The 25,477-nt window shown below is 37.4% G+C and overlaps 1 protein-coding gene and 1 pseudogene across 34 annotated transcripts in view, besides 1 other annotated feature; one reads left to right on the forward strand and one right to left on the reverse strand.

The window, feature by feature from the left end:
• Positions 1-25,477, reverse strand: part of PEAK1 (pseudopodium enriched atypical kinase 1) — a 320,261-nt gene that overhangs the window by 177,049 nt on the left and 117,735 nt on the right. For 15 of the 34 annotated variants that reach the window (XM_047433077.1, XM_047433076.1, XM_047433074.1 and 12 more), the window contains 3 exons: positions 8,721-8,802; positions 7,256-7,376; positions 6,181-6,328 (listed from right to left, as the gene is read on the reverse strand). The gene's annotated coding sequence lies outside the window, so the exon portion shown is untranslated. Of the gene's footprint in view, positions 1-1,469; positions 1,634-6,180; positions 6,329-7,255; positions 8,803-19,931; positions 19,951-25,477 lie in introns of those variants that run through there. The other 19 variants (XM_047433057.1, XM_047433073.1, XM_047433072.1 and 16 more) reach the window with 6 other exon arrangements.
• On the forward strand, positions 674-2,142 carry LOC646853 (non-histone chromosomal protein HMG-17 pseudogene; annotated as a pseudogene).
• Positions 4,513-5,111: an enhancer, noted in NCBI's record as "OCT4-NANOG hESC enhancer chr15:77574557-77575155 (GRCh37/hg19 assembly coordinates)". NCBI's record gives its function as "activates a minimal SCP1, AML or CMV promoter by ChIP-STARR-seq in naive H9 embryonic stem cells {active_cell/tissue: H9 hESC(naive)}" and the evidence as "EXISTENCE:reporter gene assay evidence [ECO:0000049][PMID:30033119]".

Below are 25,477 nucleotides of genomic sequence, written 5' to 3' on the forward strand. Positions count from 1 at the left end.
ATAGCAACTTTATTCATAACAGATAAAAACTGGAATTAAGAAACCAATCTGAAAAGGCAGCATAGTGTATGATTCCAACTATATGACATTCTGAAAAAGTTAAAACCATGGAGAGAGTAAAAGGTTCAGTGGGTTGCCAGGGGCTGGAGAAGGAAAAGGGATGAATAGGCAGAATGCACAGGATTTTTAGGGCAGTGAAAATACTCTATATGATACTAGAATGGTGGACAGCTGTCATTATGCATTTATCCAAACCCATAGAATGTACAACACCAAGAGTGAACCCTAATGTAAACTATGGGCTTGGGGTGATTATGATGTCTCAATGAAGGTTCATCAATTGTAGCAAATGTACCATTCTGGTGGGGATGTTGATAATAGGGAATGCTATACGCTCGTGGGCACGAGGGTATGTGGGATATCTCTGTATCTTTTTCTCAGTTTTGATGTTGAACCTAAAATTGCTCTAAAAAAATGAAGTCTTTTGAAGAAACACTGGAAACGAAATGTTCATGAACAGGTGATTAAGTACATTGTGATATAGTCATACAATGGAACACTACTCAGCAATTAAAAGAATGAACTACTAATACACACAACATATGAATTTCAAAAAATTAAGCTGAGAGAAAGAAGCTAGATTCAAAAGAGTACATAATAATTCAATTTATAGGAGCAGTGTAAAGAAGAAGCAGGGAGAACGACCCCCAGACTGACCAAAGCCCACATAACGCACCTATGTCCTACCACATCGCCAGCACCATGCCCAAGAGAAAGGCTGAAGGGGATGCTAAAGGAGATAAAGCCAAAGTGAGGGACAAACCACAGAGAAGATCTGCAAGGTTGTCTACTAAACCTGCTCCTCCAAAGCCAGAGACCAAGCCTAAAAAGGTCCCTGCAAAGAACGGAGAGAAGGTACTCAAAGGAGAAATGGGAAAAGCTGACACTGGCAAGGAGGGGAATAAGCCTGCAGAAAATGGAGATGCCAAAACAGACCAGACACAGAAAGGTGAGGGTGCTGGAGATGCCAAGTGAAGCACGTGCATTTTTGATAACTGTGTACTTCTGGTGACTATACAGTTTGAAATACTATTTTTATCAAGTTTTATAAAAATGCAAAATTTTGTGGGTTTTTTTTTTTTTTTTTTGAGACAGAGTCTCACTCTATCGCCCAGGCTGGAGTGCAATGGCATCATCTCTGCTCACTGCAACCTCCGCCTCCTGGGTTCAAGCCATTCTCTAGCCTCAGCCTCCCGAGTAGCTGGGATTAGACACACGCCACCACAACTGGCTAATTTTTGTATTTTTAGTAGAGGTGGGGTTTCACCATGTTGGTCAAGCTGGTCTTGAACTGACCTCAAGTGAACCGGCTGCCTCAGCCTCCCAAGGTGCTCGTGTGTGCGTGTGTGTGTGTGTGTGTGTGTGTGTGTGTGTTTCAAAGCTATGCTGTTAGCACACAGAACACTTACTGTTGTTTTTGGGGGAAGGGGCATATGTCACTAATAGAATGTCTCCAAAGCTGGACTGATGTGGGGAAAATACCTTTCCCTTCTAGCTTTGAGAGACTTCTTCTTGGATCTCAGGAGGAGGGATTCCCTGACTTAGATACACAGGGCCTCCTTGGCACAAAAGCCTGTGGGATGGAAAAACAAATTTGTTTTTATGTTCTTTTCTCCCTTTCCACCTTTCAGCATAGACTTAACTCCCTTTAACCCAGACATCTGCTGGGATCTGACCCCCAATAATTGGTTACCAGTGTGTCAGACAATCTGGATGTTCCAGTGATACCACTGAGATGGAGCCCCTCAAAGGAGCAGTGGTTCCATTTCCAGATTGTGGATCTTCAGATAAATTCTGTCATTTTCATTTCACTTCCTGAGTCAGGATCGGCTCGTGAAAAGTTGTTAAACAACATTCTAAATGTGAAATGTCAACCCTCACTCTAAACTTTCCCTGTTCAGAGCATCACATGAAGACTTCACTGGGTTTATAGTGGCTTTCTGATTTTTGGTAGTTCATTGAAGAAGGGAGTTTGAAAGTTGTTGTATGCTGTTAATGATTTTCTGCCCATGTCCTGCCTGAAATACCATGATTATTTATGGAAGGTATCTTTAATAAAGCTGGATACAGTTTAGCTAGGAAAAAAAATTCCATTTATACAATATTCTGGAACAGGTAAAACTATAGTGATGAAGTACAGATCAGTAATTGTTAGATGTAGGGAGAGATTTTGACCAAAAAGGGAAAGCCAGAAGTTTTCTAGGGTGATGGGACTGTTTGTTTCCTGTTTGTAGTGGTAGTTGTATGGATCCGAACATGTGTTAAAGCTCACAGAACTTATGTTAAGTCAGTTTTGGGCCGGGCATAGTGGCTCATCCCTGTAATCCTAGCACTTTGGGAGGCTGAGGTGGGAGGATCACTTGAGGTCAGGAGTTCGAGGCCAGCCTGGCCAACATGGTGAAATCTCAGTCTCTAGTAAATACACAAAATTAGCTGGGCATGGAGGCAGTCATCTATAATCCCAGCTACTTAGGAGGCTGAGGTACAAGAATCGCTTGAAAACGGGAGGCGGAGGCTGCAGTGAGCTGAGATCATGCCACTGCACTCCAGCCTGGGCAACAGAGTGAGTGAGACTCCATCTCAAAAAAAAGGTCAGTTTTACTGTATGTAAATCTTAAAAATTAACAACAAAATAAAATAATTTCCCATCAGAACTTTTTAAATTCTATCTTCAATTATTTAATAGATACATAAAGTGTATTCTAGTCTTAGTTCTGTTACCACCTATATAACACTTGAGGATGTAGCTTCACACCCTTAGTTTCACTTTGCAAAATGTAAGGGGATAATCAAATGATTTCCTTTTTTTTTTTTTTTGAGCCTTTTCTTATTCTAAAACCTATTCCTATTCCATGTTTCTGTTAAATTTTTATTATTTTAGAATTAACAAGGAACACAAAATATTTTAATGTACTCAAGTTGACTCCACAAACTTCCTTCAGACAGTGTGGGCTGGCTTGCAATATTCTTCTTATTGGTTTTATGTGATCTTTTATGAGCTCTAAACATTTGACCTTACTTAGTAGCTTTGTTTAGATGATTATTAGATAGCACTCTCATCTTTGGAATAATCAGGCTTCTGACTATAAGAGCTGTACAAGATTTCTATTTCCTGGCTGGGCATGGTGGCTCACATCTGTAATCCCAGCACTTTGGGAGGCCGAGGTAGGTGGATCACTTGAGGTCAGGAGTTTCGAGACCAGCCTGGCCAACATGGTGAAACCCCATCTCTACTGAAAATACAAAAATTAGCCAGGTGGGGTGACACCGGTAATCCTAGCTACTCACCTGTAATCCCAGGAGGCTGAGGTCAGAGAATCGCTTGAACCCAGGAAGCAAAGGCTGCAATGAGCCGAGATTCGCCATTGCACTCCAGCCTGGGCAACAGAGCAAGACTCTATCTCAAAAAAAAAGTCTATTTCCTTTATTATATCAGACCATGTCTATATTTGCTGTAAAAAAGTATGTGAACTGCCATTTCTGCCAGCCAAATGATGCCTATTGTTATTAATTTTTATAAGACATGGTATTCATATTGCTGGAGAAAAGAAAGTAAGCCATTGTTACTGAATTCATTCAATATAATCAAAAAAATTTTTTTAACCCTACATAGAAAATCTGGAGTCCCCAAATCTTTTGCAAAGATCTTCATTTCTCCTATAGAAGAGCTGCAGACTAGCAATGTATTATACTACCAAATCTTATATTAAAATGTTCTGTTTATATATAAGAATAAGCAAAGCTATTGAGGAAGTTCATACAATTTAAGAATCAAATTTAATAACTTCCTAGAAAACCCTCATTGCAATTAGCAACTTTTCATTTAAATTTTTTTGGAGATGGGTTTTCATAAAAGAAATAAAAAGACCCAAGAGCAAATTATTATCTCTTTCAACAATACTCTCAATTTTGTACAGGAGAATAATTTTTGAATATTTATGAAAATCATCCAAATTTCTCACATTGAGAATTAAGAAAAATAAACGTGGCATACATAAGCTAATGAAATATTCAATAACTACTTGAATATTTATACTTACTTGGTACTATTTTTCTCCGATAAATTCAAATAACTGGGCAACTCAAAGTGGACTGATCTTACAAATGCAGGCCAACAGATTCTGTAATTCTCCTTTATTACCTATACTTCTATTTTTTAAAACTCTGAATCAACCCATTTAATTCTTTCAAATACAGCATGAAGAAATAAAACGAAGCCCTGAGCTATATCTAATCATTTAATTGCTAAGCAGCAATACACTTACAAAAGAAAAAACCAATCAATATTTCCATATAATTCTATCACCATGTTAAACTTTAAAATAACTTGGTCAAGAAGGAAGCTATAAATCAAATTTATTTCCTGTGTGTTTAGATCACACACCCAAATATACACATACATACATATACACACAAATCAACAGCTCCATATTTCCCTTATTGCCATCCTGAGGTTTACTGAATATGACATCAAAGAGTTCCTCGAATTTCCATACATCTAAGAACTTATCTCATTTTTAGAAAATATCCTGGCACAGAAAGCAGACTACATAGAAATAAATCTACATTAAAACTAAATAATCAATGGCTAGGAAAAACACTTAATTTAATGCTAACGAATTTGTCAACATGACTCATTAAAAAAAATTTACTGTTTCAGCAATTTCTTTATTGAAATAGTTTAAAAAGTTAAAAGGCTTTGTGTATTAAAACCATGCCTTCTGAATCACAAGGCCATCCACGTGTACAAAGGGAATGCTTTAATAAGAATGGGACACCAGCCTGGAAGCCTGGCTTGCTTGCAGTTGACTCTAGATCAGGAATTCTTTAAGCCTAAAGCCAAACAAGAGAAACTCACAAATCACAGGAAAAAGCCCAGTCATCTTGAAAAATTCCAAACCCTCAGTTAAATGTCATAACTTTTTTATGAACACTAAATCACAATGGGCCAATGAGAAACTAACAGTAGTCCTTAAAATGACTACAGTCTGGGTTAGCAAGACACAATCATATTATAATAGGTAAAATTTAATGAAACTGTGTTAGGAGTTTGAAGTTTCCAGGAAACTAGCTCCTGAGTTATCTCAAAACAAAAACCAAAAAATTAATTACTATGAAGGGTCCTCTTCATCTTTTCCTTTAAGGCACCATTAAAAAGTGGCTGTAAAAAAAACCTTTGCATATGTTTTGAAGTCATACATAGAGCTGAGAATTAAAAACTAGCTCTATTCAAGTCTGTATCAAATATCATTTTGAATTCCATGGATCTGTGATGGCATGAAAATGGGTACGCAATAAGAGGTGGAGCTCTGTAGGGCAGGGCATCAGGAAAGAACATCAGCAGCTGGGCAAGAGAATCTTATAATGGACTCTTAAGAAAAACAGACTTCAGAAAGGACATAATACATTTTTCTTCTCTAAAATAAGTCAAATCTCAAAATGTTGCTTTCAAATTTTGTTGTATATCAACTCCATCCTTTGCTGTTTTCCTTATTTGATTAGAACCATCTGGGAGATCCTCCTTTCTTTTATTAGTTCTACAGAAAACATGCAGTTAATCATCTTAAAAAACACTTTTTAATATAGAACAACTGGAGATTGTATTAATGATCAAATTTTCATATCTGCAGAGAAAGCACCATCATACCATGTGGTCTAGAAAGTCAGTTTCTTTTAAAGGAAAGACAATTTAGAAAAAAAAATTGTACAAGAAAAACTGCTCATACCCACATACTAGTTTTAAAATTATTTTCTTTCCAATTAAAAAAATACTAAAAAGTTACACAGTTGTAGCTCTACAACTACAAAGTGGAAATAAAAAAGAAAACCCACTTCAATAAAGGCAATGAAATAATTAATTTTACGTACAGCTTAGCTTCCCATGCTTATTTATTCATTTTCAAAGTATCCTTTTAAATTAACTGAAATTTTCCTTAGCTCACCTACAATTTATGAATACTTTATTATAAAGTATGATTTCTCTTTGCATTAGTCAGGATAACGTATGTGGTTGATAAACACAAGGATATTAAAAGTCAATTATGCTTATTCTTAATCCAGGAATAAATGAAAACCAAAATTAAATCAACTCATAGACCTTATTACTTGCCACTTCCTTACCTCTTTGTTACTGTTATTTATATAGCTGTAGTCATTACTACTTTCATATTAGAAAATGTTTGTTTCTCCTTCTTGGATTTTTTCATAAATCATTGAATTCTCACTTTCTCACAAAATGGTACTTCATTGAAGGATGTAATTAGTCTCACTAAAGCAAGAAAACATGATAAACTTGGTTGAGAGTCACAGAGTCACTTAGTCTAGCCCAGCTATATGACCAATTCAATCTGGTCATGTAAACAATGAAGAGAATGATATTTAACCCACAAGAGTATGGTGATGAGGCTCACATGAGATTAATGTATGTAAAGAGCAAAGAGCTTTGAAATGTTTACAGTGCCATACAAATGCGAAGGTCTCAGTCTCACCATCTTCACATGGCAGGATTCAATGAAGTGATCTCTAAAGACTTATCTCGCAACCAAAAATTCTTAGCTATTCACATGTGAAGCACATTTTAAAAATCTACTGATAGGATAACTGTATTACTGTAAGGGACTTATGGAACAATGAAGTCAATCTTCTCACCTTACAAAATGTATGAAAACAGGTTAAGATACTTGTAGAGCACATGAGTCAGTAGGAAAGCTGGGAATTGAAAGAACCCAGATCTGAGCCCCACCTCAAAGTCCTTTCTATCATATGTTGCTGTTCACTATTCTGTGAATTTAAAATCTCTCTTCACCATAGGATCATGTAACCTAAATTACTTTTTCAAACTGGTTACAATGAAAAGCTTGTTAAGATGGAAATATTATTTTGGTGAGGCGATTTAACTGCTAATAGTTGAATTAAGAATGCTTACAAATGACACTAATAGCAAAAGGAGCTCAGACTAAATTGTCCAGCTATTTGTTTGGTTTGTGTAATATTAAATTTTAAGTCAGCTGGGTGTGGTGGCTCAAGTCTGTAATCCCAGTACTTTGGGAGGCCGAGGTGGGCGGATTACAAGGTCAGGAGATCAAGACCATCCTGGCTAACACGGTGAAACCCCATCTTCTCTACTAAAACACACACACACACACACACACACACACACACACACACACAATTAGCCAGGTGTGGTGGCACGCACCTGTAGACCCAGCTGCTTGGGAGGCTGAGGCAGGAGAATTACTCGAACCCGGAAGGCAGAGGTTGCAGTGAGCCAAGATCACGCCACCGCACTCCAGCCTGGGCGACAGAGTGAGACTCGTCTCAAAAAAAAAAAAAAAAGTAAGTCAATAGACATGGGTTTACAAACCCTATCTAACCTTTCCCAATACACGGTTTTGAATCTGCTTTTGGTACTTACTAGCTATGTGATCTCGGACAATTTGCTTATTTCTTTGTTTTAAAGATTAGTATGTCACCTGGCTGTCGTGAATTAAATAAGTTAGTTCACGTTAAGTCCTTACGATAGTGTCTAGCACATAGTAAGTGCTTATAAACGTTAGTTCCCATCTCTAATCTTCCAAACTTTTGAGGAATAGAGAATACTCTCCCCCTTTTTACTTCATCAGAAAGTAAATGAAATAAATTCCTTAAATGAAAGTAAATTCCTTATATGAAATACATATGTCCTCCACCCTCTACTTCAATAATCAGCAGTTGCACAACAACTAAACCTAAATAAAATAGGGAACATTGTGACATAATGGAAGGCAAATACGGTTTGGAGTCAGCAGATATGAGTCTGAATCCCAACTTAACTCTTTAAGAGCTTCTGACCTCAAGCAATTTACCAAACCTCACAAAACTTTCCATGTTAAAATGAGATTGCTATCTAGCTGTTTATAATTTTGTCTTTCATATTCATAGTTAAGTTGCTAATCATTTGATATCCCCTATGTCATTTTTTTTTATTGCATCTATTTGATTCTTCTCTCTTTTCTTCATTAGTCTGGCTAGCGGTCTATTTTGCTGATCTTTTCAAAAAAACAGCTCCTGCATTCATTGATTTTTTGAAGGGTTTTTCGTGTCTCTGCCTCCTTCAGTTCTGCTCTGATCTTAGTTATTTCTTGTCTTCTGCTAGCTTTTGAATTTGTTTGTTATTGCTTCTCTAGTTCTTTTAATTTCGATGTTAGAGTGTTGATTTTAGATCTTTCCTGCTTTCTCTTGTGGGCATCTAGTGCTATAAATTTCCCTCTATACACTGCTTTAAATGTGTCCCAGAGATTCTGGTATGTTGTATCTTTGTTCTCAAAGACCATTTGGTTTCAAAGAACATCTTTATTTCTGCCTTCATTTCGTTATTTACCCAGTAGTCATTCAGGAGCAGGCTGTTCAGTTTCCATTTGGTTGTGCGGTTTTGAGTGAGTTTCTTAATCCTGAGTTCTAATTTGATTGCACTGTGGTCTCAGAGACTGTTATGATTTCTGTTCTTTTGCATTAGTTGCAAATAGTTTGAAAAGAGCATGTCTTATTCACCTTTATCTCCTCCATACTACTATGGCAAGGTTTAAAATTATTAGATTTTTGCTGAAATAAGACAGGAGATTAATAAAAGAGATTTAAGACCAGAATAAACATGTTACATTATGGAAAGAAAAAGTACAAACCTGGTTTAATTGGCTCCAACTCTGGGCATTATGTTGTTGCTTCCTTTTCTTTCCTTACAAATGGATCTCAAGTATTCTTTTCCTATTAGAAGATGCAAAGTGGGGAAGATATATTAATAAAGGGCATTTGAATCACTCTTTAAAACTGAGCATTCTTTAATTCACCATAAAGCAGAATCAAACTCTTACTTATTCTATTTGATGAACTTATTTTTAAGCTATAAAATCACTAAGAGGTGTTTTAATTGGTTAATACAACAGAAACATTATAGGCTTAAGTAGCCAAAAAGTAAACATATATTATAGTGCATTAAAATAAATTTGTTCCTTACTTCAAAAAATTACTTTCAAAGAATAGCAGTACCTCTGCTAAAGATAACTTCACTATTCAGGGGTTGCATGAAACAGTGTAGTTTATTATAATACATTACACAAAAATACTTCTGGTTCCTACAGTTCTTAACCTTTTGGGTGGAAGGTGAGTGGTGAGTTATATAAAACTTTGATAATCCAAAAGAAGCTATAAATTGCATCTTCATAAAAATGTGTACATATGCATCATATCTTGCATATAATTTTAGTTGAGTCATGAAACCCAGTCATGTACCCTGTAGATCTCTAAAACCTGTTGGCAGACTCTGTTCTTGAGTTTCTAAAAATGAACAGACTTAAGAAAATGAAGAAATAGTGACCCAGAGAGATGAAAAAGATTAAAAGGGCCACACTGTACTCAGGAAGAGAAGGATGTTCAACTACCATATTAATCCACATAAGACTGACCATGCAAAATTTACAGTAAATCAGTGCCTTCGGGTCAGAGTAATTCTTAAAACAAAACCAGAATAGGAGACTTCATGGTGCCTAGCACATAGCAGCTCATGAAATGATACGAATTAAAAAATATTTGTCAAGTAATGAAAATGGATAAAATATAAAAACGCAATTTCCAAGTAAATGAAATGTTTTCCAGCTGACCAAATAAGTGGCAAACTTAAACGTTTATTATCTACTACATAACATTATATAATATCCTACTATTCAAGAATGCTTAAATTGTGATTCAAAAAGGATAAAGTTGTCCTCCTTTTAATAGTAATTAGGCAAAGACATAGAACTTCTTCCTTCCCAGTTTCCTTTTTGGGTTCCTCTTTTTCCCTTTCCTCCTAGGGTTCAGTGTTTTGCCCACTTCACACTCTACTCACATTTTCTGTATTCCTCCAGGACTGGGAGGAACTCAAATGAAAACCCTGAATCCTAACCTTTCACCTGAGCCTCAGACTCCTACATCCAGTTGTTTGTTGGATGTTTCTAACTGAAGGTACTATAGGCAAAAACTCAATATATCCCAAACCGAGCTGTTCATCTTTTCCTAAAATCTGTTCCTTTTTAAAGTCCCTGTCACAGCAGAACAACAGCCCCTTAACTTCTCAAGCTAAAAGTTGGGCAATCATCTCACACTTCACCAGTCATCTTCAATTCTTATTGATTTCTACTTTAAACACTTTCCAAGTCTATTTCCTGAATTCCATCCCTATTAATAGTATCTAAATCCAAGTTATCTCTCAATATGACCAAATCAGTAACCTAACTCATCTCCCCATCTCTAATTTTATCCTACCTCAAATTTATTTACATACTTCTGCCAACATGATTGGTTTAAAATAAAAATTTTGCCACATCAAGCACTATATCAAACCCTCATTATGCCAAACTCTTCAAAGCAACCCAGCACTAACAGAATAAAGTCCTTTATTCAAAGAATAAATGTCCAAGTATGACATATAAAGTCCTCAATGACCAGGCTCATACCTATCTCTTCAACTTTATTTCCTATCTCCCACTTTATTGCACCACTGACATACTGAACTATTTGTCAATCCCATATATTCTCATGCTGTTCTCTTTGCCAGTATATCTTTACCTACCTTCCACACATAGGAAATTCTTACTTATTCAGGTACAAGATCACTTTCTCTGGAAACCCTGACCACAGCATACTTCTCTACACCACCAAGCTCACATATCATTGCAACAAGCACTCAGGAGATATTTAACTGAATATTAATGAAACTACACAAACTAATGACAAAGCAGCATACAATTTATATACATAAAACCAGTGAGAAGGGAAACTAAATGGATTTTAGTAAGTCTTTTTGGAGAAAAGGTCTTAACCTGGTGGATCCAAGGAGTAATTGTTCAGATTGTTGAAGAGAAGAAATAAAAGTATTTCAATGAGGCTGGGCGTGGTGGCTCATGCCTGTAATCCCAGCACTTTGGGAGGCCGAGGCAGGCGGATCACGAAGTCAGGAGATCAAGACCATGGTGAAACCTCATCTCTACTAAAAAGACAAAAATTAGCCGGGTGTGGTGGCGGGCACCTGTAGTCCCAGCTACTCGGGAGACTGAGGCAGGAGAATGGCGTGAAACCAGGAGGCGGAGCTTGCAGTGAGCCGAGATAGTGCCACTGCACTCCAGCATGGGCACAAAGCAAGACTCCGTCTCAAAAAAAAAAAAAAAAAAAGTATTCGAATGAGTAAAACAGAGATGGAAATGAACATTCATAGGAGGCTAAGAAGACATGTATTGCAAGGTTTGGAGGAACAGTAAACAGCAAATATAAATTAACAAATACAGCTATCCCTATAAAGAGCCTTAGATACTATAACCAATAATTCACCAAAGACCTTCAAATATTTTTTTCTGAAACCATATGGCAAAGTTGACATTTAGGTACTATCCTGTACTTTCATTAGAGATATATTAGAGAAATATTTTCATCTTTTAGTCACTTCCCTGCATCCTTATAGGTTTAAGAAGGTATCCCCACTGAATTAGCACTTACTGAAGAACTTTACATAAAATTCTCAAATTATAACACATCTCTATATTGCATAATAGTTTACTGAAATTAGAATAAGGTAACATAAGACTCTATTTCAATTAGGTCAAGGGCTGGTTAATCTTACAAAACAGTCTTCAATACTAGAACATTAGGTTGCTCCAAATAAGTAGGGAAAGTGAAAATATAGTATACTTGATGTTAAATTCACAGAGGATTTCAACTGCAAATACTTTGCTTTCTAAATGCAATATAATTAAAAAGCATCAATCCTTAAACTTAAATACACGACCGGGTGCAGTGCCTCACGCCTGTAATCCCAGCACTTTGGGAGGCCGAGGCTGGCGGATCACCTGTGGTCAGGAGCTCGAGTCCAGCCTAGCCAACATGGTGAAATCCCATCTCTACTAAAAATATAAAAATTAGTGGGGCATGGTGGCACAAGCCTGTAATCCCAGCTACTCAGGAGGCTGAGGCAGAGAGAATTGCTTGAACCCGGGAGGCGAAGGTTACAGTGAGCCGATATCGTGCACTCCAGCCTGGGCGACAGAGCCAGACTCTGTCTCAAAAAGAAAGAAAGAAACCAAAACACCTAAGATAATACACTAGTCATAGTGCAGAAGAATAAATCTATGAGGTATTTCCATGTGAAGAGTGAATACTAAGGTCATCTACCAAAAATAAGGAGAAAAAGATGCTGTTATAATTACTCTTTTTTTTTTGAGACGGAGTCTCATTCTGTTGCCCAAGCTGAAGTGCAGTGGCATGATTCAGCTCACCGCAACCTCTGCCTCCCAGGCTCAAGCGATTCTCCTGCCTCAGCTTCCCGAGTAGCTGGGATTACAGGAGCCTTGCATCACACCCAGCTAATTTTGTTTTGAGACAGAGTCTCACTCTGTTGCCCAGGCTGAAGCGCAGTCCACAATCTTGGCTCACTACAGCCTCCATTTCCCGGGTTCAAGCGATTCTCCTACCTCAACCTCCAGAGTAGCTGGGATTACAGGTGCCCAGCACCATGCCTGGCTAATTTTTGTATTTTTAGTAGAGATGGGGTTTCATCATGTTGGCTGGTCTCAAACTCCTGACCTCAAGTGATCCACCTGTCTTGGCCTCCCAAAGTGTGGGATTACAGGCATGAGCCACTGTGCCTGGCTAATTTTATATTTTTAGTAGAGACAGGGTTTCACCATGTTGGCCAGGCTGGTCTCAAATTCCTGACCTCAAGTGATACACCCGCTTCAGCCTCCCAAAGTGCTGGGATTACAGGCATAAGCCACCTTGCCCAGCTTCTTCTTCTTTTTTTTTTTTGCTCAGTTGCCCAGACTGGCAGACTGGAGGGCAGTGGCGTGACCATGGATCACTGCAGCCTCCACCTCCCAGGCTCAAGCAATCCTCCCGCCTCAGCCTCTCTGGTAGCTGGGACTACGGGTGCACACTACCATGTCTGAATAATTCTTTTCTATTTTTTTTGTAGAGATGGGGTTTTGCCTTGTTACCCAGGCTGGATAACTACTCTTGATGACATAAAATCTACTGTTTGCAGTAAAGACAGAAAGCATTCACCCTAATACCTTAGTTAGAAGACTACAGAATCAGTCAGAAGAAGATCAAGTCAGAAACATAAGCAGCACAAATAAATCAGCCACCCCAAACTGAAGAATCTCTAAATGTAGGTCTGTATCATTTTTATTTTAAGCGTTTAACTATATAGCCATATAAGACAATAACAAAGGCATATTTTCTATACCAAGGAACAAGATGATTAGGAAACAGATATATGCTAACAAGCACAGAATCACTTTGAAGTGTAACAGTCAATGCATGGGGTTGTATGATGGCTTGTCCTTGACTTTGTAAATGCCAATTCCCTGCTTTCAGATTTGCAGACAGTAAAACGTGAGATACAAAGCTGAATGTTAATTTTCAACATAACACTGATATGTCAGAAAGTAGGGGTAATTCTCATTCTCACATAATACCTGTCATTTTAAAACACCCCTACTGATATGAACCAACATTTGTGAATGAAAGGTTAAAAAATGCTTTTGAGCTGTCATATTCAAGCAAATTGACAGATATAAATGCACACACACACTAGTCTTCGATTATGAAATCTCCTCACACATAAACACTATTATAAAATAAATTTCTTTAAGAGAAAAGCGACTGATAATGTTACAAGCTTGCTAAAGAGAATAACATCAACCATAAAAGAAACTGGCGGCCCACCAATATGATGCTGACAACCACATTATGCTCAAGTGTGCTATAGAGGATCATTTAAATGCTGTCAATGTCACCTGTACTCCTTCAATATTCCATTTTATGAAAAACCTTCTGACTTAAGGAATATGGAATCATCCATCTGGTGTAAAACAGCAAACTGTTTTCATCTTGTATGCATTTATTTTTCACTAAAAAAGAGAGTTATGGCCAGGCGCGGTGGCTCACGCCTGTAATCCCAGCACTTTGGGAGGCCGAGGCAAGTGGACCACGAGGTCAGGAGATCGAGACCATCCTGGCTAACACGGTGAAACCCCAACTCTACTAAAAATACAAAAAATTAGCCCGGCATGTTGGTGGGTGCCTGTAGTCCCCGCTACTCAGGAGGCTGAGGCAGGAGAATGGCGTGAACCCAGGAGGCGGAGCTTGCAGTGAGCCGAGATTGTGCCACTGCACTTCAGCCTGGGCGACGGAGCAAGACTCCGTCTCAAAAAAAAAAAAAAAAAAGAGTTATATATTTCTTGTGATCACAATTTCAAGTAAAATTAGGACTAATGCTTACACTGTACAAATATAAGGGTTATTTGTAAAAGAGTAGCAGATTTTCTACACATGCACACACACACAATGATTCTTGTTATCTGTGGTAGTTATGGTCCATTAAATTGTCACAAACACTGAGTTAGTGAACACTGAACCACTGCTTCTAGGGAAAATGGGAAAGAAGGTTAGGTTTCTAGGAGCCTCTGGTCACAACATTTTCATCAACTAGCCAACACATAACCTTGTTTTATCTGTATTTCTGTTTAAAGACACCTTACTTAATATATATTTACTCATTAACACTGAAATCATGGCTGAAAGCATAACTCATGATTGAGAGAAGCTTACTTAACATACATATTTCTTGCATAGATATATCACAGCTTTCTTGCACTTAGGAATATTACACAGCACTTTGGGACAACACTGGGGGCCATTTGCTTAAAAAAGCAAAATTACCAAAAAAAAAAAGCACAGAAAATGTGAAAAATGTGGCATTAAGTAGACTGCAAAAGGGATGTTTGTTTATAGTATAAGAACCGAAACAAGAAGGCAGAGTATCAAGAGTATCACCTTGTCCAACTACAGCTGAGAATTTGCACATCAGGTGACTCAAATTTTTTTACCACTCCGAGCGTGCCTGCAAATTATTACAAAAGCACCGTAAGTACTGATTTAGGGATTACAGATAAATTTTAGGAAGTAGGCCAATTTGGAAATACGCAGTTAGTGAATAATAAGGATTAACTTATGTATGTATATGAACGTATATGAATACTTACATATATATAGTCTTATATATATGAACTTGTGACATATGACATACGTAGCAGGAAAGGCAAGTTATAGAACTCCCTAGTGTGAGATTCTCTTATGATCCAGTTCTATATCTCCACTTGGCACAATGAATACTCTACCTGAATGACCTATCAGCACTTCAAACTTAAAATACTAAGCTCATCATATGCCCTTATTCCAAACCAGTCTTCTGCTGTATTACTCTAATCCTGGCATCATCACATCTATTCAAGTCATTCTATGACTATCTCCCTTCTCCACATCCTCGCCAGGCACCAAATCATGTTGATTCTTCCCCTGAATTATCTCTTAAACTTATCTCCCCCTGCCTAAAACCACTACTGTTATCACCAAATGCCTTTCTAATTACTTGAACCATTGGCAGTTTACTGCCTTCCCTCTTTATCTCATACTCCAAAAATGTTACTGCCACTGTTCTCTTTTAAAAACCCAAACCTAATCATATTCTTCATTTCCTGGTACCCATGTAATAAGCACCACATTTTTTGATATATATGTCCATTCATGATTTGGCACCAAGCCATCTTTTTAGAATCATACTGACACTCATACCTGATAATCACTATATTCCAGCCACAGTAATCTATTTCCCCCTCTTTGAATATGCCATGCTTTAAAAAACCCTTTACACATGTTAGTCCTCCCACTAGAAATGCTCTTTCCATTCTCTACTTGACCTTAAAGCTTCTGCCAATGCTACCTCCTCTTTGAAGCCCCTCCAACGCTGGCCACGTTAGTCAGTCTTCCATGTGCTTCCACAGTATTTTCACACACTTTTATTATAGAATTACTTAAACGTAGTTATAATTACTAAGAGAGAAAGTGCAAGAATGTAAAAGGTTAACTAAATATTGATTACTATTATAACTAGGTGATGTGGATTTGTTATATTATTCTCTAGTCTAGTGTATGCTGAATTTCCATTATAAGGAAGTAAAAAATATAGAGACAGAAAATATTTGTCTACAATTAATTGAAGCTCTGATTTATGTATGACTTTAAAAAACAGGGCATTATTTTATTTCCCCCCAAACAAAATGTCCAGAGGTAGGTAGTCTAGGATTAGTACAGAGGCTGAAGGGGTCATCAAGTCCAAGGCTCTTTCTATCTTTTTGCTAAGTGTGTTGATTTGTTGCTTCAAAGCTGTTTGCTTTAGATATAAGCATTACCTCTGCATTCATGGAAGGAAAAAGGACAGTGCCAGTCACACATTTACCCCCAAAACAGGAGAAACAAAAGCATTTTTCCAGTGCCCTCAGCAAATTTGGCCTATATCACACTGTCCATATCTGCTGGATAAGACAACAGTGTCTTGATGGCCTGATCTCTGAAAGCTGAGACTGGCTTTGTGCTTTAGCAACCAATCCAGTACCTAGAACACACAGGTACTTTGTGTCTACTGAATGTATGAGTCTAATAAAGGAAACTACAGTAAATATATAACAGAAGAACTCTGCTTTTATAATTTTATTTAAATAATATAAAAGGTATTTTAAAAATTATAAGTACTATGCAAATAAAGATTTGTATAGCAGTTTGACATCTACGATTATGAAATAATATACCATTTTACTGCTCTCTGTAAAGATTCAGAAAGAACATTAACAAGTTATCGAGAGGTCTGAATTTTTGTCTAGGCAAAACATTCAATCTTCCTGAACCTTGGTTTACCTAAAAGATAATGCTTATTTATTTCTCAGGGTTGTTCTGAGAATAAAGGAAATATAACAATATGAATGCACATTGAAATGTGTAAAATGCGATAAACACATGCATTATAAACACAACAGCCCTTCCAGGTCCTGAAAGGAAATTTGCAGTCTTATGTAGTATGCATAGAGCATCTGGCATACCAATAATATGAATTAAAAATTAAACACTATCAATACCTAGTATAGATGCTGGACATTATAATATGTATGGTTAGATGAGTTTTTGAACTTGATCTTTTTTCTTTCATTGCTATAGGAAACTAAACTAACTGAACTGATATTTATACCTCATTAAGGAAAAAATGCTTTATAACATAAATCTGGTTTCTCATTGCAATGATATGATATATACAATTTAAAAAGGAGAATATGAAAAATAAAATAAATGGGTTAATACAGAACAGTTGACATCAAATCTCAATTCAACAATTAATATTTACTACCAATGGATGAATGGCACTGATGTAAGTCAAGGTCCTAAAGTACTTCTAAATTAAATCGAGTAATAAATAAAACAGTAGAAGCATTGAATATTAGTTTCCCTTTGGCTTTAATAACCTTGACTAAGCTTATAAAAAGTACCACTCAGGGTGACCTTATGGCTCATGTATATATGCACAGGCCACAGTGGTAGTCAGAACTAGTTCTATAAATGATAACATGATGGCCTGTTCTCTTGAGTTTTTACTAAGCTGTGTAGGTCTTCATTTATAAGAGTGTTATATTAAAATAAGCATGGTATATACAACATAAAACAGTTGCCAATACTAAGGAAGAGAAAAAAAGACATTTTAAAACAAAAAAAATCCTTATAGACTATTACAGTGAGAAGTGATCTTCACTTTTACTAGATTTGTGGACTACGGATGCTTTGAAGAACATGGTCTTTTCTCAAGTCTTTTAAATTAACTCTCACTTCTCAAATATTCAACTATCTCAACCTTATTAATAAAGCCTCATCATACTCTGATTCATTTAAGCAGAAACTCTTTTCCATGTAGGTTACCATGGAATTACTTGATACTGAAAACTGATTCATCTTAATGCAAAACACTACCTCAAGACTGTAGGCCAGTAAATTCCAACACAGTATTACATAATGCACCATCAACTGAAAAATTCCAAACAGTGGATCAGACTTCTTATCTTATAGTTGCGGAACATCTATTTCAACAAGAAGTAAAACATGTCCAAACAGTAAGAATGAGCTTATGTTTTATAGCTATATCCACCCAGTTTCAACTACATAGATTTTTGTTTATAAACGAGGGGAGAAAGAATGTTTCTCTTCCTGTTTTATCTGCTCATATAGCTTCATCAGCTAAAGCTTCAACAGTGAATATTTCTTCTACAAAGAAAATTTTGGGTACCTGGAATAAGCAAGAAATGATACGTCAATGTGCTGATGTTTCTAAAATTAAAAGATGTAAGTGGTATTTTAATATAAAGAGCTATTTCAAATATTTAACTTTGTAGATGGAAAAGGAAGTGTATTAATTTAAAGATTCACTGCTGTTTAAAATATTCCCCTTATTTTCTTTCAATAAAAACTAAAAAGAAGAGGGGAAAGAAAGGCACTAAGAGAGCAACGTAGACAGTGAAAATGAGTCACTAGGGAATAAAGAGGTAAGGATGCCTTATCTTCTTTGGCTCATGAATTACCCTTACCTAAAATGGTAAAGGAGATTTGATTATATGAATATTGAATTATTACATATGCCCTGAAATTATGTACATCTAATATGTATCAATAAAAATAAATAAATGGGACCAGGCGAGGTGGCTCACGCCGGTAATCCCAGCACGTTGGGAGGCCAAGGCAGGCAGATCACTTGAGGTGAGGAGTTCGAGAGCAGCCTGGCCAACATGGTGAAACCCCCATCTCTACTAAAAATATAAAAAATTAGCCAGGTGTGGTGGCAGGCATCTGTAATCCCAGCTACTTGGGAGGCTGAGGCAGGAGAATTGCTTGAACTCAGGAGGCGGAGGTTGAAGTGAGCCAAGATCACGCCACTGCATTCCAGCCTGGGCGACAGAGTGAGACTCTGTCTCAAAAAAATAAATAAATAAAAGAAAATAAATGACAAATTGAAAAAAAAGTAAAATGCAGGTATCTAAATCTGAAAATTGAAATAAAATAAAATAAAATGGTAGAGGACGAGTTTATCCTAGGGCAGATTATTAACTATGATCTAGGATTGTTCTTAGGAGGTCTCATGTTTAAAGAGGCCCATATTTTTCTTTTAACACTGAAAAATTAAGAAAATATTAAAAATGAAGAAAGGGATATAGGGAGAGAACGAGACAAAGGAGGGACAAGCACACACACAGAACTTTGGCCCAAAGTACCAAGTACTACAGCTTAGAGAATGCCCCAGGAGATCAATCACTGTCACATTATGACATCAGAGATCAAAATTCCCGTTTAGTCTAAAATGACCAAAATTGGACTTAATCAGAAGTAATCAGCTGTAAAATATGCAGATCTGAAAGGTTCAGACTATGCTCCACTGTCATTCCCAGTTAGGATATCAAATTGAATTTGCAAGTTTAGATGATTTGTATTTGCTAAAATTAGGTCTCAGGATACACAGAGAATGTGAAATGCTCCCTGAAGCAGCTGACTTGATATATGCTCTGAGGAAGTACTACTGCCATTCACAGAAAAAAGCATATGTTTCATAGCAGCTACTTTAAAATCAATGTTTTCACTGCCTCTGATAGTAACAGAAGTAAAATATTTGTATTTCAAATTCACTCCAAGCTGAAAATTTAAAAAATGAATCTTCTTATAAACTTGTGTTGGCAAAGTATACGCTATTAACACCTGTGACTGCCTCTTCCCCAAAGCATATGTCACTTCAGCTGACATAACAGCTTGTCCTCCTTGGAGGAATTCAATCACCTCATCAATAGTACTGGTCAAGCAGATGAAAATATTTCTCATGGGGCAGTTTATCTTAGTGCAATAAGATGTTTCTAAAACTCTTTAAAATCTGTAAGCATGTGAAATCTGGTGAAACCTCATTTCTACTAAAAATACAAAAATTAGCTGGGCATGGTGGCACGCACCTGTAATCCTAGCTACTCAGGAGGCTGAGGCAGGAGAATCGTGTGAATCCGGGAGGCAGAGGTTGCAGTGAGCCAAGATGGCGCCACTGCACTTCAGCCTGGCAACAGAGTGAGATTTTGCCTCAAAAAAAAAAAAAAAAAAAGGCCGGGTGCGGTGGCTCACGCCTGTAATCCCAGCATTTTGGGAGGCCGAGGCGGGTGGATCATGAGGTCAGGAGATCGAGACCATCCTGGCTAACAAGGTGAAACCCCGTCTCTACTAAAAATACAAAAAATTAGCCGGGCTTGGTGGCGGGCGCCTGTAGTCCCAGCTACTCGGGAGGCTGAGGCAGGAGAATGGCGTGAAGCCGGGAAGCGGAGCTTGCAGTGAGCCGAGATTGCGCCACTGCAGTCTGCAGTCCGGCCTGGGCGACAGGGCGAGACTCCGTCTCAAAAAAAAAAAAAAAAAAAAAAAAAAGAATGTCACAGTATTTCAGGTCAAGTCACAGCAAATAATCTGCCCTCTGATCTTTATTATTAATGAAAAAAAAAAGTCCTATAGCTTCTTTTGTTTGGTATCCTTAATTTTTTTTTTTTTTTTTTTTTTTTTTTTTTTTTTTTTTTGAGAGGTAGTCTCGCTGTGCTGCCCAGGCTGGAATGCAGTGGCACAATCTCGGCTCACTGCAAGCTCCGCCTCCCGGATTCATGCCATTCTCCTGCCTCAGCCTCCCGAGTAGCTGGGACTACAGGCGCCCGCCACCACGCCCAGCTAATTTTTGGTATTTTTAGTAGAGACGGGGTTTCACTGTGTTAGCCAGGATGGTCTCGATCTCCTGACCTCATGATCTGCCCGCCTCTGCCTCCCAAAGTGCTGGGATTACAGGCGTGAGCCACCACGCCCGGCCGGTATCCTTAATTTCAACTTTGAGGAGACCCAACAACTATCTCTTACCACATTTCTTATCTAGCCTCAAATTGCTGGACGAAACATAATAAATTAAATGGTGCTTTAAAGATTATCCTTTCTAAAAATTTTTATTCACAGAGTCCACAGGCCTTGAGATGTCAAGGATCATAGTTTAGGGGTAGGAAAATAGTATACTTGGATTTATTCTATAAATTCTATTGTGTAATTTTCTTTTCCTCATCTCTGGCAGGTTCTCCTAAGTTAATGTACAAAATCAAGCTCCTTCTACACCTCCAAAAAACTGTCCCTTCTCTCCGTTTCCTTAGCGTTACCAGGGCCTAGCGGTAGCTAAACTTCCACTCCATCAAGCAGCACCTAGGCAGAGGTGCCTAGGTGGGGAGAAGGCCAACTGGCACTACCATATACCCTCTTGTGGGTACAAAGTGGTGCTAGTTGGCCCTCTGCCCTCTAATCCCTGTGAGACCCAGCTGGATGCTAAACTTTCACTCCCACACTTGGCAATGCAACAGGCCAACAAAAAGCAATAACTACCAAATCTCACCCAATATAAAGTTTCCAAGGTTATTTATAAGATTCTTACAATAATTCTTTCCACAATCTCTTTCTTCTAGAATTGATTTTTTATCATCAGTATTTCCCTTTAATATCTTAATTTTCTTCAAGGTCTGGAGATATTTCATTGATCAGATGTATTCTTAATGAATGTCTCCTCTTATCCACTCAACTCACAATGGCTTTTATTGAAAGCTTTAAAAATTAATTTTAAAAATAATTTCAAACAGAAAAGTTCAAGAATGGTTTTTTCCCCAATTTGAAAGTTGCTGACATTATGTCCCATCATCCCTAATAACTTGTTTATAATTCCTCTAAAAATATTCTCCCAAATAACCATAATACGATCATCAAAATTGACAAATTAACAATGATACATTACTAGCCTGTGAAGTTTCACCAATTATTCCACTAATGTCTTTTGTAGCAAAGGCATCCAATAGGGTATTATGAGATGTATTTAATCGTCAAGTGTGTCTAGTCTCTTTAAATCTGGAATAGTTCTAAAGTTTTTCCTTGACTTTCATAATCTTTATGAATTTGAACATTACACACTGGGTATGTTGTAGAAAGTCTCTCAACTTGGAATTCTCTTTTCTTCCAAATTAGATTTCAGTTATGCATTTTTGAAAGAAGTGTCATAGAAATGCTGCTGTGTTCCTCACTGCATCCTATCAGCTAGGAATCATGGAATTAGAAAGATCACTGATTACAATAATTGGCAAATGGTGATCTTTCCATTATTCCTTTTCTTCTCCCCACTAATTTATTAGATCACTGTGGTCTCATGAGTTCCTATTTTATTCAAAGAGCTACGATTTGATAGTATGACTATTTAGTCTGATGCTCAAACTGTTCAAGAATTGGCCAGTGAGTGCCCCTTCAAGGTGGCTTCTGCATCCTTTAGATATAATCCCCTCATTCTTCGAGCTCTACTTTACTTTCTGGTACAGGGAGATGTGTCCAGCACATCTTGTCTTATGCTTTCCCTGTCCCAGCCCTAGAATCAGTCATTGTCCAAGAAACCCTAGCACCTACACCTTCCTGGGCCCTGTCTTAAAACTTTTAGACTGAATTATTCAGGAAGGAAGGTCAGTAATACGAAAGCCAAAGGGCTAATTTGTTTAGAATGAATAACTGCACTGACTTCTGCTGTAGCTGAAGAGGTCTGTTTTCCCAATGGTCTCATCTGCCTTGAACAGCAAGGTTGACTACAGGATGTTTGAGGAAGAGAGGAGTACTGTTAGTAGGCAGGCTTCCTCCAACAGATAATTGCCAAAGTAAGAAAACTCTTGCTTTTGAGGGGTGGAATATTCTGGTTTCATTTTATTCCCAGGAAAGGTATCTATTCCTTTTCTTTCTTTTTTTAAAAATACAACTTTTATTTTAGAACAGCTTTAGATGTATAGACAAATTGTGAAGATAGTACATAGAGTTCCCATGTATCCTACACCCAGTTTCTCCAATTACGAACATTTTACATTAGTATGATACCTTTGTCACGATTACTAAAACAATATAAATACATTATTAACTAAAGTCCATATTTTATTCAGGTATCTTCAGTTTTTCCTTAATGCCCTTTTTCTGTTTCAGGGTCCTATCTAGGGCATCACATTACATTTATTCTCCTTAGGCTAGTCTTGGTTGTGACAGTTTCTCAGACCTTCCTTGTTTTTTATGACTGTATTCGTTTCCTGTGGCTGTTATAACAAATTACCATAAATTTGATGGCTTAAAAAACCAGTAATTATTTATTTATTTATTTATTTATTTTGAGATGGAGTCTCCCTCTGTCACCCAGGCTGGAGTGCAGTGGTGCAAGCTCGGCTCACTGCAACCTCCGCCTTCCAGGTTCAAGTGATTCTCCTGTCTCAGCCTCCAGAGTAGCTGGGATTACAGGCATGTGCCACCATGCCCAGCTAATTTTTGTATTTTTTAGTAGAGATGGGGTTTTGCCATGTTGTCCAGGCTGGTCTTGAACTGCTGACCTCAAGTGATCAGAAATTTATTTATTTTTATATGGTTCTAGAGACGAGAAATCAAAGAATCAAGTAATTAGCAGGGCTGCACTCTCTTAGAAGTCTCTAGGGGTGAATCATTCCTTGACTCTTCTAACTTCTGGTGGCTGTAGGGATCCCTTTGCTTGTGGCTATATCATTCTAATCTCTGCCTGACTTCACATGGCATTCTCCTCTGCCTGTTATCTTCTGTGTCTTATAAGGACACCCCTCATTGGATTTAGAGCCCAATAGATAATCCAGGATGATCATCATATCAAAATCCTTAATGTAAAGACATCTGCAGAGGCACTTTTTACAAATAAGATCACGTTCACAAGTTCTAGAGGTTAGGATGTGGACATAATCTCTTAGGGGAGCGGGGATCATCATTCAACCCATCATTATTACCTTGACAGTTCTGAGGATTACTGGTCATATGTTTTGCAAAACTGTGATTTATTTGATTTCTCATTAGACTGGGATAATGTGTTTTGGGGAGAAAAACCACACAGGTAAAGTGTCATTTTCATCATATCATATCAAGGATACACGACATCTCTGTTGATGCTGACCCTGATCATCTGGCTTGAGGTACAATTTATCAGGTTTCTCTATTGTAATGTTACCCTTTCTGTACTGCACTCATTGAAGGAAAGTCACTATGAACAGCCTAATGTATGGAGTGGAGAGTTTTGCCTCACTCCATTGAGGGTGGAATGTCTAAGTAAATCATTTGGAATTCTTTTGCATGGGAGATTTATCTATTCCCTCCCAAGGTCAACATCAACCATTTGTTTATATCAGTAAAGATTCGTAGATATTTACTTTATACATTGGATTATGATCCAACAATACTTTTATTTTGTTGCTCAAACTGTTCCAGCTTTGGTCATTGAAGAACTTTCAGTTGGCTCCTGTGTCCCCTTGACATACTCCTATCGTTGTGTCTTGTTTTGTTTTTTTGAGTACTTTCTTATTTTCTGTCACTCCGGAGGCTCCATACATCTTGTATATTTCCTACCCCAGGGCTAGAATCAGCCACTTCTCCAAGGAATCCTGATTCCTAACATTGGATAACCCTGACTTCTACTCCCCAAGATCTGAGGACTAGGTATGATAATTGCTACTGGAGTTTCATTGCTTCTAGTACACATTGACTTAGTGTACATTGTAAATATGTACACTAACCTGTGCATATACATATATCTATAAACATTTCCATATGCAACCATGTGTATCTATACATTAAGCTAAATGAGTTCATATCAATGTCTCCAACATGAATCCATTACCACATGGATCATTTTAGCCTCTCATTGCTTACCTGTAACCAACACTACAACAGTGAAAAACGTGGCTTCTAACAACTGCCACCCATTTTCTTAATTGTTCAATTCCAGTATACATGCATGGTAATTTCAACATTATTAATCCATACCTTGTTCCCCATGGGACAGAACTTTATCAGTAGAGTACAGGGCTTATGCATAGTTCCTTTAGTTTAAAGTAAGTACGGTAAGACTAAACAGTCATACAGATGCCACTCATTTCCAAAGTTACTTAGATTAGCAACTTGTTTCTTCACTCCCTTCAGTGAGATTATTGGATACATTTATAATACATTTAGACTCTTTTGCCACATTTTGCATTCCATCCTGGAAACTCTGACCTCCTAAATAAGTTTTCAAAAATTTGTACACATTAAGATCCACTCTTTCTGCTATAAAATTCTCTGGGTTTTGGCAAATGCTTAATATCTTATATTCATCATCACAGTATCATACTTATCACCCTAAAAAAGTCCTGGTTTTTCATCTATTCAACCTTCCCATCAACTCCTTGCTCCCAAGTCCCTGGCAACCACTGATCTTTTTACCAACTCTCTAATTTTGCCTTTACCAGAATGTCATATAACTGGACTCACAGAGCATTTTCAGGCTGATCTCTCTAACTTGGCAATGTGCATTTTTAAGATTCATCCATGTCTTTTCATGATTTCATAGCTCTTTTTAGTACTGATTAATATTTCGCTATATGAATGTACCACAGTTTATCCATTTACCTACTGAAGGACATCTTGGATG

This window comes from Homo sapiens, chromosome 15 (genome assembly GCF_000001405.40).
Source record: "Homo sapiens chromosome 15, GRCh38.p14 Primary Assembly".
Lineage (NCBI taxonomy): Eukaryota > Metazoa > Chordata > Mammalia > Primates > Hominidae > Homo > Homo sapiens.